Source organism: Homo sapiens, chromosome 17 (genome assembly GCF_000001405.40).
Source record: "Homo sapiens chromosome 17, GRCh38.p14 Primary Assembly".
NCBI classification, from domain to species: Eukaryota; Metazoa; Chordata; class Mammalia; order Primates; family Hominidae; genus Homo; species Homo sapiens.
This window is the reverse complement of record NC_000017.11, coordinates 41,518,972-41,531,982: the sequence shown is the minus strand read 5'-3', so window position 1 is coordinate 41,531,982 and position 13,011 is coordinate 41,518,972. Positions and strand designations below refer to the sequence as shown.

Sequence of the window (13,011 nt, the reverse complement as noted above, 5' to 3'; positions counted from 1 at the left end):
CTCCAATGACTATCCCATTTCTCCTGGGATGATGAAAACCCCCCTACCTTTAACCTCTCCACTCTGGGAACCACCTGCATCTGCTGAAGGATAAGAAGCTTCATGTGTATGTCCAAGTGGAGAGGCAGAGGGGGCCTCAGCCTCAGTGTTAGGAGTTAGAAATGAATCCCAGATCTGCCTCAGTTCAGTCGGTTGAATCATCATGCGACCCCAGGAAAGTCACTTTACCTTTCTGAGCATCCTGGGGCTGGACTGGCTTTTTCTGTAATTCATGGGTTATTAATAGATATTTAAAGATTCCATGGTCCAGTGCACTTGGGAAATACTGGTTAAAGAAAGTTAAATAATAACACTTGTAGCCAAAATTATAGTAACAAATACTATATAAAAATAACATTATATAATAATAATAATAATGCTGTTTGAGTGCTATTTGCCAGGTGTGATAAACCTTTTACAAGCACCATTACATTTATCACTTGAAGCAACCCTCTGAAATAGGTATCCTCCTCCTCCTCCTCATCATCATCATCTCTATTTTACAAATGAGGAAATGAGGTTTCCAGGGCTTCTGGTACTGTGCCTTGTGAAACTCCAAAAGAGAGTCAGAGAGAGCAGAGTTTCCGATCTTATTTGACAGGGATCTTTTTTCCTGCAGGGATCTCATAGTGCTGGGGTTCTGTAGAATCCAGTTGGGGAAGGCTGGGCAGGATCCTCCCTGGGATTCCTTTGAGCTCACCATTCCATACCCATCACTTCTGACCCTCTGTACCCCTCTTCTGCAGACCCCAGACCTGAGACTGGAGACATGAACATTGGATGGATGCTCCTCTGACCAGGTTCTGCCCTCCTGAAGCCAGAGGCTGATGGGAGCCTCCTGGTTGTGAGCACTGTTTCCTAAATGGGAGCAGCAGCTTGACCTCCAGTTCCATCTCTGGGTAGGGCAGCCTCTACAGACTGTTCTCCTGAGTCCTTGATGAATCAGAAAGTGCCAAAGGCCACATACCTCATGGCCAGGCACTGTTTCTGGCCAGAGAGAGGGAACAAGGTATTCTCCCTAGCCCAGCCAACAGTTCAGTCTGGGGTTGACTGCCCTTGGCACTGGCATGATAAGATTTTGAGGGAAGGCACCCAAAGGAGTTGTTTTGGGGGCCGAGACTTCCTTGGAAGGGAGAGCAGGGCCTCCGTTACTCTTGGCTGATGGTCAAGAAGCTGGAGGCCAGAATCTGATACTCCTAGCGGTGGACCTTTGGCAAATTACTGCCTCTCACCAAGCCTCTGTTTCCTTATCTGTAAAATGGAGATAAGAATACCTTTTCCACTGGGCTGCTGTGAGGATCCAGTGAGATCTGAAAAGGCTCTAAACTGTGCTACCCTGTAGTCAACTGTCCTTCTGTTTATGGTCTTAGAGTAGGGGGCTGGGACTCCAAGTGCCTCTGAAGGTTAGGGAGCTCAGAACACCTTAATCTTACGAATGGAACTGTTGATTCTATTCTTTGCCCTTTAATACAAAGTCCCTCCCCAGACCCCCCTATCAGGCCAGAAAAACAGAGCTGCCTATTGGGGCTTTGTGTGCATGGCAACTATCTGGCCAATCTCCCTTCCCGCTAACAAGGAGCAGGCCTCCTCATCAGTGCCTGATAAGGGAATGACTCAGAGCTGACCAGTCACAGGGTGCTGGCTTTTATGGCTGGTCTTGGACTCCCCTTTCTCCCTCTTGGGCTCTCCAAAGACCTTCAGTCTTTCTGCAACTGATTCACTAGTTAAACAGCCTCAGACTGGCCTTCCTGAGGGCTCAGAGCGGTTCCTGGTGGGTTAGGGGTGTGTATTTACGGGGTTTCCTGCCCCAGTTCAAGGATGAGTTGGCAGCTAACAGGTAGTTTGCTGGGAACTTAGGTTTCCGAGGCTGGAGACAAGTCTCCACCAGTCACAGGTGACCCAGGTGATAATACACAGAGAAGAGGGCTGAGCTGGGCCACCCCTCTTTTCATGAGGGAAAACTGAGACCCAGAGATGGGCAGGGACTGGCCTGTCTCCCTTAATACCTTCTCAGGAGGGCCTCTGTTCCAAGCCTGGGTGAATGCTTTGCCATAAGGACAAGAAGGAACCATGGGGACAGTTCTGGGGACGGGGGTCACTGGGGACAGGAACTGGGGTGAGGTTGTTGCAGCGCCCTGTAGTGCCTGGCAGGGGGCATGGCCCTCCAAAGAGATCCAAAACGGTGGGTGGAATTGTTGAACAGAGCAAGGGGTGGGGCTGTGTGGGGAGGAAGGCCCTGCCTCTATTGTCAAAACCTTTACCTTGTGCCGGGCACTTTGTGTCGCTCTGCCCAGCTCATTCAAGCACTCATCTTTATACAAGGATGAGGACATGCATTCAGCAGCCCTCTGACAAGGAGGGCAGGGATTCATCCTATGTTTGCCTTTCAGTGGCAGATGCTAAATGCCTCATGGGCAAGTTACTGGCCTCTCCCAGGCTCTGCTTCCTCATTTTGGAAATATTAAAGCAGCCCAATACTCCTGTGGTTGAATGAACGCATGCTTTGGGGGATGGAAGGGAGGGGATCATCCTGGTGGCCAGGGACGAGTGGGCTTTGAGGGTTCCAGAGTGAGGATCAGGCTGGAGCTTAGTGTTGGAAAGGTGTCAGCTGCCAGAACCGCTCCCTGCAGCTGTTCTCAGGAGACTGTTGTCACCTGGGGCACTGAATGGCGACAGCAGGGTGAGGCAGCTTTGTCTTGAGAGGGCTGGGTTCGTGCAGCTCAAAATGCCCGGATGTGCCCTGATCCGGAACTGGTGCCTTTGTCAGAGGGGACAAAAGGGGAGTTGGGCATGGGTGTTCCCAAGAAGCTGGTTCTGAGAGGCTGTAATCTCCAGTGGAGGGCAGGAATCTGTGAATGCACTTTGTGGGGGGCGGGCTGGTTAGGATCGCAAGCAAGGGGCTCTTAACAGGGAGCACTCTGAATGGTTAATCACTGGGGCTGGGCGCAGGGGCTCACGCCTGTAATCCCAGCACTTTGGGCGGCCCAGGCGGGTGGATCACTTGAGGTCAGGAGTTTGAGACCAGCCTGGTCAACATGGTGAAACCCTGTCTCTACTAAAAATACAAAAATTAGCTGGGCGTGGTGGCGCGTGCCTGTAATCCCAGCTACTCCGGAGGCTGAGGCAGGAGAATCGCTTGAACCCGGGAGATGGAGGCTGCAGTGGGCCGAGATCACACCACTGCACTCCAGTCTGGGCGACAGAGACTCGTCTCCAAAAAAACAAAAACAAAATCACTGGGTCAGGGGTGTGTAGGAATATGACCCCAGAGGGACTGTAATTCCCAGTGGTGTCAAACTCTGGGTGATCTTAAAGGGTGAGGCTCAGAATGTGGCTTCCAGGGACAGGGGTGTCCAGGTATGTCCCTGACGGGGGAAAGGCCAGAACAGGGTCTGCAGAGAGAGAGTGGGGGAGTGCGGGTCGGAGCTTCTGCGCGGACCGGGGCGGGGCACCTCTGGAGGGCAGGGGCCTCTGGTCTCTGGGAGGGGAGGGAATTGACCAATGGGGAGAGAGCCCATATTTGCTCTCAGGAGCCTGCAAATTCCTCAGGGCTCAGATATCCGCCCCTGACACCATTCCTCCCTTCCCCCCTCCACCGGCCGCGGGCATAAAAGGCGCCAGGTGAGGGCCTCGCCGCTCCTCCCGCGAATCGCAGCTTCTGAGACCAGGGTTGCTCCGTCCGTGCTCCGCCTCGCCATGACTTCCTACAGCTATCGCCAGTCGTCGGCCACGTCGTCCTTCGGAGGCCTGGGCGGCGGCTCCGTGCGTTTTGGGCCGGGGGTCGCCTTTCGCGCGCCCAGCATTCACGGGGGCTCCGGCGGCCGCGGCGTATCCGTGTCCTCCGCCCGCTTTGTGTCCTCGTCCTCCTCGGGGGCCTACGGCGGCGGCTACGGCGGCGTCCTGACCGCGTCCGACGGGCTGCTGGCGGGCAACGAGAAGCTAACCATGCAGAACCTCAACGACCGCCTGGCCTCCTACCTGGACAAGGTGCGCGCCCTGGAGGCGGCCAACGGCGAGCTAGAGGTGAAGATCCGCGACTGGTACCAGAAGCAGGGGCCTGGGCCCTCCCGCGACTACAGCCACTACTACACGACCATCCAGGACCTGCGGGACAAGGTGGGCGGAGGCCCGGCCGCGGGAAGTGCAGTGCACCTGCCGCGGAAACCCAGCCCCGCGGGCCGGGCGAGGTTCCAGGCGGGGCGGCGGGCAGGAGCCCGTTAGGACGTGGGAAGGTCCACAGGTGGGGCCGAGTAAAGGGGGACAGGAGACGTGCGGGGCAGGACCTCGGGGCTGGATGCAGAGGCCGGGGTGGTGGAAAGGGGAGGAGAACTGGGCAGGGCAGATAAGTGGGTGGGGCCTCTGGAGGTGGCGGGGGCAAGGTTGGAGCCCCGGGACGAAGAAGGGACGCGGGTCAGCGAGGCCTGAAGAGTGGGAGGAGATGGGACCCGGCTGTAGAGTGCCCAGAGGTCTAGGCCAGGGGCCGCGCTGCCGCAGGAAGATGCGAGAGTTTGGCTTTGGTGATCTGGTCCACCCGGGGCCAGTCTTGCCCCCTCTGCCACCGCAGCGTAGGGCCTCCTGCATTCCGTTTCTCTGGCCGGAAGGGTCTAGTGTTCATCCCTCTCAGGCTTTGGCCTCCTCCCACTCTCCCGCCCTGGGGCCCATTCGTTTAGGAAGAATGGGAGAGCCGGTCGTGGCCCCTGGGCGGGGTAAAGGAGGGAGGCTTGGTAAACCTCTGCTGGGGAGGACCCAGTACAGTGGCAGCTCCTTGTCGGGGAAAGAACGGATCTGCGTCACACGCTCTTACAGGGGAACCCTAAGGGGCCTGAGGGGTAGGGCTTGGTCTCCACCCAGAGGGAAGGAGAAATTTTTCGAGTCGTAAAGAAATGTATCAGAAGCCATGGAACATTTACAGCCGCACACGCTGGGTCTCCCAACAAACAGATCCCCAAAATATTTTCCAGTGCTGTACTCGTGGCATAGACCCAGACCCACAGACCAGGAGGAAGCGCTAGAGATGTCAACAGCCAACAAAAACAGTGCTTTACACACTTGTAAAATTGTGACCTACAGGGGCTGGGCACTGTGGCTCACGCCTGTAACCCCAGCACTTTGGGTGGCCAAGGTGGGAGGATTGCTTGAGCCCCAGGAGTTCGAGATCAGCCTGGCAAACATGGTAAAATCCTGTCTCTACTAAAAATACAAAAATTAGCTGGGCGTGGTGGTGCATGCCTGTAATCCCAGCTACCTGGGAGGCTGAGGCAGGAGAATTGCTGGAACCCAAGAGGCGGAGGCTGCAGTGAGCCGAGATTGCGCCATTGCACTTCAGTCTCGGCCACAGAGCGAGAGTCCGTCTCAAAAAAAAAAAAAAAAAAAAAAAAAAAGGAATTAGCTTGGCATGGTGGCGTGTGCCTTGCAGCGAGCTGTACGTGATCAGTGCCACTGCACTCCAGCCTGGGGCAACACAGCGAGACCCTGTATCAAAAAAAAAAAAAAATTGCGACAATAAGTACATTTTACTACGCACCCTTACGCATTCTTTTTCTCACCTCTGTGTGTGTGTGTGCGTGCACATGCACACACACAAATGGGTGACACAATTCTCACCATACTAAGAGAAATCCCCTCTGATATTTTGTAGCCTATTCTGTTGCATTAAAAAACTACACAATCGGCCGGGCGCGGTGGCTCATGCCTGTAATCCCAGCACTTTGGGAGGCGGAGGCGGGCGGATCACGAGGTCAGGAGATCCAGACCATCCTGGCTAACACGGTGAAACCCCGTCTCTACTAAAAATACAAAAAAAAATTAGCTGGGCGTGGTGGAGGGCGCCTGTAGTCCCAGCTACTCAGGAGGCTGAGGCAGGAGAATGGCGTGAACCCGGGAGGCGGGGCTTGCAGTGAGCCGAGATCGCGACGCTGCACTCCAGCCTGGGTGACAGAGCGAGACTCTGTCTCAAAAAAACCCCAAAAAACAAAACCAAAAAACCCCCCCAAAACACAAAACTATACAATCACCACCTGGTGCCTTGACTAATGAGTGATGACCTGCTCTTTGAAAAACAGAACACAATTACCTTATTCAATGATAAGCTGGCTGTTGTGAATGCGCCTCTTAGGTCAGTAAGACCTCAGGTTGGGGTGAACTTGGATGAGGCATCATCCTAAACTTTAGTTTCCACCTCTGTAAGATAGGAGTACCCACTGACCTAGCAGTGAGGTTCCAGAAGCTATAAAAGATGAGATTCAAAGTGCCTGGCACATAATTGATACTCAACAAATGGGATTCTCTTCCCTGGGGGCAAAATATGCTTCGCATAGTGGGGGGGGCAGGTATAGACAAAATCTACCCCCCATCTGGTTTATAGACCCCCTTCAGGCCATTTAGAGTTTCATTGCACACAGGTCTCAGAGATTTCCTCCCCAGGCTTGCCTTCCTGCCCTCCCCCACCCAAGTCCCCCTGGCTCCAGTTTTCTTCCTGCCCCAGCTTCTGGGCATGGACTGTTTGCAAGGCCTCCCAGAGAGCGGGCCAATGGGCGGCAGATGCTGGCTAGGGCTTTGGTCTCTAGGGTGCCGGGGTATATTCATTTGCTCCCCTCTCTCTTCTGGGAAGAAAGTGAGTGGGCAGTGCCTGTGTGTTGAACTGGTACCAACCTCTGCCTCTGCCTTCCAGATTCTTGGTGCCACCATTGAGAACTCCAGGATTGTCCTGCAGATCGACAATGCCCGTCTGGCTGCAGATGACTTCCGAACCAAGTGAGTGTCTCTGTCCTGGGGGCTGCAGAAGCCAGGACTGGGGTAGGGGTTGGGGGGTTTAGAATCTGCCCTCACCTAGCCTAGATGGCCTGAAGCTAACCCCCCTATGGACTCCTGAACTCTGGGGAGGTAGGGAAGTCTTCAGAGATGCTGAGGAAGCTCTGCCTGGCTGCAACTATTTCCTTTGAAAGGTTTGAGACGGAACAGGCTCTGCGCATGAGCGTGGAGGCCGACATCAACGGCCTGCGCAGGGTGCTGGATGAGCTGACCCTGGCCAGGACCGACCTGGAGATGCAGATCGAAGGCCTGAAGGAAGAGCTGGCCTACCTGAAGAAGAACCATGAGGAGGTGGGTTTGAAGCTGGGCCTTTCTTCCATCCTTCCCTAACCTCCCAGGGCTGAAGACTCTTTTATTCTGTATTCTCTGACCGTGGTAACACTTGGTGCACCCTCACCATGGCCCTGGGTGTGGGATCATGGATCCCAGGGTTCCAAGAGGAATCAGTGATGACCCAGTCTGTCCCCCAGTGCTAGTTACTAGGCCTGCACCTGAAAACTAAGCCCCTTTAGCCTGAAGGGTGGGGAAGTGACCTGGGCCAGGCCCAGTGGGGTCTGGGCCCTGACATGCCCATCTCTGCTGTATCTTTACAGGAAATCAGTACGCTGAGGGGCCAAGTGGGAGGCCAGGTCAGTGTGGAGGTGGATTCCGCTCCGGGCACCGATCTCGCCAAGATCCTGAGTGACATGCGAAGCCAATATGAGGTCATGGCCGAGCAGAACCGGAAGGATGCTGAAGCCTGGTTCACCAGCCGGGTAGGTAGAGGGAAGCAGGCACCCTTTGGGGGTTAGGAAGGGGAGGGCTTTGTGTTCCCTACGCGAAGGTCTGACTCAATGCTTATTCCCTCTTCTTCCTCTCTCTGCAGACTGAAGAATTGAACCGGGAGGTCGCTGGCCACACGGAGCAGCTCCAGATGAGCAGGTCCGAGGTTACTGACCTGCGGCGCACCCTTCAGGGTCTTGAGATTGAGCTGCAGTCACAGCTGAGCATGGTATGTGTCCCCCCACCGCCGCCGCTTCCCTGTGCAATTCACACTTATACCCTTGCAGCCTAGGGCAGCCTGGCCGGTGGCTGTGCCCATGCCCTCTCCGGGAACCAGGCTCTGCTGAGTCACAACCCCCTCTCCCTATCCTCAGAAAGCTGCCTTGGAAGACACACTGGCAGAAACGGAGGCGCGCTTTGGAGCCCAGCTGGCGCATATCCAGGCGCTGATCAGCGGTATTGAAGCCCAGCTGGGCGATGTGCGAGCTGATAGTGAGCGGCAGAATCAGGAGTACCAGCGGCTCATGGACATCAAGTCGCGGCTGGAGCAGGAGATTGCCACCTACCGCAGCCTGCTCGAGGGACAGGAAGATCACTACAACAATTTGTCTGCCTCCAAGGTCCTCTGAGGCAGCAGGCTCTGGGGCTTCTGCTGTCCTTTGGAGGGTGTCTTCTGGGTAGAGGGATGGGAAGGAAGGGACCCTTACCCCCGGCTCTTCTCCTGACCTGCCAATAAAAATTTATGGTCCAAGGGAGGAAGGACGTTTGGTTTATTATTTCAGCCCATGGAGAGAATAGGTCGTTCGGTTTGTTATTTGAGCCCATGGAGAGATGGGTCCTGCCTTGGCCCTGTTTAGGTTTTATTTGAACCAAAGTTCACTCTGTCCCAGGAAAGGGAGGGGAGGGTACTCACATACTTTGCCTGTAATGGTAATTCCTGTTTACAGAAGTCTTCATTTATTTAACCCGTTCCTTAAAATAACCTCATGAAATAAGCATTGCTTCCATTTTACAAAAGTAAACTAAGGCTCAGAGAGGTGAAGTGTTTTTTTCTATATGTAACTGCTCTAATGCATGGCAAAGGTGGGATTTGAAATTGTTTTTGCTTCTAGATTTAGTTTTCTTTCTACTCTACTCCCCAGGGCGTTGAGGTATCTGTGTGAAATTAATGTTTATTGAACACCTACTATGTGCCATTGAATTAAAAACAGCCCTAAAAGGTAGTATGAGCTGCATGTTATAGATCAGGAAATAGGCTCAGAGAGGTTCAGTAACTTGTCCAAGGCCACACAGCAACTACATGGTAGAGCCAGGACTAGAACCTAAGTTGCCTGATTCTTAGCCCATGGTGCCAGCCCCTGCCAGGTGGTCTCCTGGAGTTGACGCCACTTGTGCCGGTCTTGCTGACATTCCAGTCTTGTGCCCTATGAAGGCTCAGGCCGGGGATCCCTAGGGGCAGTTCCTCCCGACACATTTCTCCACCTCACTGAAACTGGGGGTTTGGGGCCAGGCATCCCGCTTGGAGCAAGGCTGGGGAGGCTGTACCTGTCAGTGTGTGTTGTGTGTGTGCATGCACTAACACATTCACCCATTTTTGGGGCAGCCCTGCATAAGCCCTTTAACGCCCACCAGCCCATACCTGGGCCCAGAGCCCAGAATGGGACCCAGCAGTGACCCAGACCTCCCACAGAGACCCCAACCCTGGCTTGCCTGGGGCCTGCCCTGGGCCAGCAAAAGAACGAAGTCCCAGCTTCCTGGTACAACTCTGCCCTTGGGTAGGTATGGCCCTGCTCCTGTGGTTTACATCTCAGCTGCCAAGAACTGAGGCCAATTCAAGGTAAGGAAGAGGCCCCAAAAGAAGTCCCACTTCTTCCTGGTGGAGAGGTGAGGGCTGCAGGCCCAACCCTATGAGTGATGGGGGCAAGTGAGGGACACTAGTTCCACGCCCGCATGCTGCCAAATGTACTCAGCACCCTGCTAAGGAGGCTGGAGACCCCATCACGGCCATGGCAATCCCGAAGGAGGAGCTGTTTCAAGGTTGGTTATGAACATGTAACCCCAGAGCCCCGCTGCTGTAGCCTGGACTGGGACCCCCTTCTGCCCCCTCCCTAGCTGTCCTGTTCTGGCCTCCAGCACCCACAAACCACCACCCCCAACTTAACTTCTCAGGAAGCCTTGGAGCTGGAGGGAGAGGCCTGGCTGCACCCCCAGCTGGGACTGCCCAGAGGCGCTTGTCCCTGCCCATGAAAGCCTCCCTTGTCACAGCTGAAACCTTCCCTCTGCCTCAGGGGCCCCTGGAATGTGGCTGCGGGGCGGGGTCTGGGCCCACACAGGTGGGGCAGGTGACTGTCAGGTCTCAGGCCTGAGTGTCAGGAATGAAGCCTGCCTTTGTGTGTGCACAGTGCAGGGTGGGGCTGGACTGGGGACACTTTTCTGTCTCAGCCTGGAGACCTGGGATAGGAGGGAGAGGGGAGTGGGGAAGTTGAGGGGAGTGCCTTTACATCCTGCTGGTCATCGTGGCCACTTCAGTCTGTTGAGCATTTCCTGTGAGTCATCTTGCTCCAACTGAGAGTCAGGCTGAGCTGGAGTTATTTCCATTTTCCTGATTGGTAGACTAAGGCTCAGAGAGAGGAGGCGGCATTACCCAAAGCCGCACAGCTGGTAAATGGGAAAAGAGGGGTTTAAAGGTAAGTCTCTGGGCTCCAGGACACACCCCCTCTCCCTGGCATTTCCCTGGGGAACAGGAGAGGTGTGGGAGGGTTCTAAGGTTGTTGGAGACTTCATTCTCCTTGTGCCCTCAAATGCTCACTATGGCCCTGAGGGGAGTCTGTGTTAATGGCCTAAGTTTAAATCAGGAACCAGGCTCAGAGAGGCTGAGTCTCTTTCCACTGGGCTGCACTGCCTCATTCTAAGGAGAAAAGGCCAGCTCCACAGATGGCCCCATCTGGCTGCAGTGGGCAAAGGTCAGAAACTGGCACAGCATCCTGGGCAGGCTGCCTGGGGCAGGGCCCGGGGCTACAGCCTGGGCTGGGGCCAGACAGAGCTTTATCTTCGCAAGGCCATCCCACCTGGTGCTAATGAGGAGGCTCCGGGCCCCACCCAGATCTGGAGCTCACAGTAGCGGTTTGGACTGAAACCAGGGATTTGTGCGTGGGGCAGTGAGGGGGGCAGCTGCCGCCCCTGGCCTGGGCCTGAGAGTATAGAGAAAGCCACCTCGAGGGGCTGCTGGAGGAGAGTCAGGTGCAGAAGGGGATCTGGCTGGGGTCCAGCCCTTCCTCACCCTGGGGTGAAAGGCGAGTAATTGTTCTTGAGTTAATTGCTGGGGCCACAATGTCTGCAGAGGCTTTTAATGAGCTCTGGATGATCTGAGTTTGATTATTTTTCTTTCGGAGGAAAAGACAATACCCTCCCACCCATGAGACAATACCACACTGTCTGTGCCCAGCATTGGAGGCCAGGCTCACTGCGAAGATGGATGAGAAGGAACCCACCCCCAGCCTTGCTGGCTGGCAGTTCCCCTTGCCAGCCCAGCTCAGATGCAGGAATTTGGGGTCTGCAGGAAGGACTCTTTCCCTGTGCCCTGTTTGGTTGAGGGTGTGAGGACCTGTTTGAGTCCTGGCTTTGCCCCTTACCAGTGGTGCCACCTGGCACAAGTTGCTTCACCTCTCCAAGTTTCAATTTCATTCTTTCTGAATCTTGGGTGGGGGTCACCCTCTGTTGTGAGGATGAGAGGAGGTGATGGATGCAAAAGTGCTTTGTAAATCACAAAGTGCAGGGTAGAAGTAAAGGATTATGCTATTATAGCAAAATAAGAACCTAAGAACAACCTGCGTTGCCCCATAGGAGCTGGCTATGGAAGGTCGATGCCGTTGAGCCTAAGAACATGCTCAGGCTCACAGGGCATGTTCTGATGCCCAACGACAAAGCCCCTCCTGGTGAGGGCACTCAGGCGCAGGTGCCGGTCATGCACCCTGGCCCCTGCATGTCTGGCACCTGGGTGGGGATCCAGGAGGGGGCAGGATGGGGGCTCTTGGGCCACAGGGCTTCCCTGGAAGTGAGAGTTGAGAGCGCCCCTTGCCACAGGGAAACAGAGACTTAAAAAGGTAAATGTCCACAGTCTTACCATGGTAATTGGTAGGGTCAGGATTTGAACCCAGGCCTCACAGTCTTACCATGATAATTGATAAAGCCAGGATTCAAACCCGGGCCTGAGGGACTCCAGAGCCCTGTCCACTTCACCATGCTGCAACCTGGGCTAGGAATCCTCCTCCTGAGTTTCTGTAAGCCCTGGGGCCAGGTCCAGAGGGCTGAGCCACACCTCCAAGTGGCACTGCCCACAGGTATCAGGTGTCCCTGGAAAGGTGTCCCTGAGCTGGTGGCAGAGAAAAGGGCTCTCCTGAGTGTTCAACTCCCCGTCTGTGTGAAGCAATGCCTTGGTCTTCAAGATCTCCGGTGTCTTCCAGCCTGCCTGCCAGTCTCCCTTCTCTTCCCTTCCACAGCATTCAGGCACATAGAGCCTTCTGCAGCGGCCCGTCCCCAGCCAGCACTTGACAGGACAGATGGGGGCTAATCTGGCCCTGCTAAGCAGCGACATGCCTCTCCTGGAGAAGGCAGGGGCTTCCTGGAACTTGCCCCAGCCTTATCAGCGGAGGTTTGCCCCAACACATCCCAGAAACGAGCAAAGGTTCAGCGCCGTGCAGTTGGCAGGTGTCGGGATCATCAGTCATCCCCTTGTCAGTCCCAAGCCTGCTGGGCTTTTGTGAGGGTGCCAGGAACACAGGCTGGAGGATGGCAGGAGGGGAGTAGAGGTGGGAGGAGGGGAGTCCATCTGCAGCACCAGGTAAGGGGATGGATGCTGGCTCCTCTGGTCACCTCAGCTGGAACACTACTCAAGGTCCCTGGCTCCTGTCCTCCACCTGCCCCCAGGGGCCCTGCATTCCCATCCCCAGGGCCTCCACTCTCCCTGAGCCCTGCAGTCTCTCACTCACTCACTCACTCACTCATTCACTCACTCACTCACTCACAGGGTTTTGAGTTGGATAACACAGCATAATGATCGGCCAGTGGACTCCCAAACTAAGAACACGGAGCTGTCCTCTTGGGGAGAGGCTCAGGGCTCGGGGAAGTGAAGTCCAGCTGAGGGCACAGTTGGCCTGAGCTGCTCTCAGTACAGGCAGAGGCCTTGGTAGCTGTGCTGTGATGAGAGTTCGCTCCCTGCTGCTCTCTTCTGGCATGGAGAGATGAACCTGTAATCCAAGTGTTAAAACCGTGCCCTGGGGAAAAACACTATTAATTCTGAATCATCTCTTTTGTTGCATTAAAAAAAAATAGAAGAGAAAAACTTCACATGACCCACTCAAGGTGTGCAGGCAGCTGTGTTTGTCAGGAAGGCAGAAGGAG

At 55.0% G+C, this 13,011-nt stretch overlaps 1 protein-coding gene across 1 annotated transcript, besides 8 other annotated features; it reads left to right on the top strand.

The window, feature by feature from the left end:
• Positions 1,127 to 1,979: a transcriptional cis regulatory region, noted in NCBI's record as "candidate enhancer chr17.2493 targeted for multiplex CRISPR interference". NCBI's record gives its function as "positively regulates expression of the KRT19 gene with high confidence and the STAT5B gene with lower confidence in K562 cells {active_cell/tissue: K562}" and the evidence as "EXISTENCE:mutant phenotype evidence [ECO:0000015][PMID:30612741]".
• Positions 1,127 to 2,382: a biological region, named in NCBI's record as "CRISPRi-validated cis-regulatory element chr17.2493". NCBI's record gives its function as "regulatory_interactions: KRT19 | STAT5B".
• Positions 1,685 to 2,382: an enhancer, noted in NCBI's record as "H3K27ac-H3K4me1 hESC enhancer chr17:39685853-39686550 (GRCh37/hg19 assembly coordinates)". NCBI's record gives its function as "activates a minimal SCP1, AML or CMV promoter by ChIP-STARR-seq in primed H9 embryonic stem cells {active_cell/tissue: H9 hESC(primed)}" and the evidence as "EXISTENCE:reporter gene assay evidence [ECO:0000049][PMID:30033119]".
• Positions 2,383 to 3,080: an enhancer, noted in NCBI's record as "H3K27ac-H3K4me1 hESC enhancer chr17:39685155-39685852 (GRCh37/hg19 assembly coordinates)". NCBI's record gives its function as "activates a minimal SCP1, AML or CMV promoter by ChIP-STARR-seq in naive H9 embryonic stem cells {active_cell/tissue: H9 hESC(naive)}" and the evidence as "EXISTENCE:reporter gene assay evidence [ECO:0000049][PMID:30033119]".
• Positions 3,081 to 3,778: an enhancer, noted in NCBI's record as "NANOG-H3K27ac-H3K4me1 hESC enhancer chr17:39684457-39685154 (GRCh37/hg19 assembly coordinates)". NCBI's record gives its function as "activates a minimal SCP1, AML or CMV promoter by ChIP-STARR-seq in naive H9 embryonic stem cells {active_cell/tissue: H9 hESC(naive)}" and the evidence as "EXISTENCE:reporter gene assay evidence [ECO:0000049][PMID:30033119]".
• On the top strand, positions 3,675 to 8,366 carry KRT19 (keratin 19). The gene is made up of 6 exons (NM_002276.5): positions 3,675 to 4,155; positions 6,710 to 6,792; positions 6,984 to 7,140; positions 7,443 to 7,604; positions 7,715 to 7,840; positions 7,986 to 8,366. The coding sequence occupies exons 1-6, from the start codon at positions 3,736 to 3,738 to the stop codon at positions 8,238 to 8,240; spliced, it is 1,203 nt and encodes a 400-aa protein (NP_002267.2). The 5' UTR covers positions 3,675 to 3,735; the 3' UTR covers positions 8,241 to 8,366.
• Positions 3,779 to 4,478: an enhancer, noted in NCBI's record as "NANOG-H3K27ac-H3K4me1 hESC enhancer chr17:39683757-39684456 (GRCh37/hg19 assembly coordinates)". NCBI's record gives its function as "activates a minimal SCP1, AML or CMV promoter by ChIP-STARR-seq in naive H9 embryonic stem cells {active_cell/tissue: H9 hESC(naive)}" and the evidence as "EXISTENCE:reporter gene assay evidence [ECO:0000049][PMID:30033119]".
• Positions 9,441 to 10,640: an enhancer, noted in NCBI's record as "P300/CBP strongly-dependent group 1 enhancer chr17:39677595-39678794 (GRCh37/hg19 assembly coordinates)". NCBI's record gives its function as "activates an origin of replication core promoter dependent on BRD2, BRD4, P300/CBP, MED14 and CDK7 cofactors, with strong dependence on P300/CBP, by STARR-seq in HCT116 cells {active_cell/tissue: HCT116}" and the evidence as "EXISTENCE:reporter gene assay evidence [ECO:0000049][PMID:35650434]".
• Positions 11,754 to 12,753: an enhancer, noted in NCBI's record as "H3K4me1 hESC enhancer chr17:39675482-39676481 (GRCh37/hg19 assembly coordinates)". NCBI's record gives its function as "activates a minimal SCP1, AML or CMV promoter by ChIP-STARR-seq in naive H9 embryonic stem cells {active_cell/tissue: H9 hESC(naive)}" and the evidence as "EXISTENCE:reporter gene assay evidence [ECO:0000049][PMID:30033119]".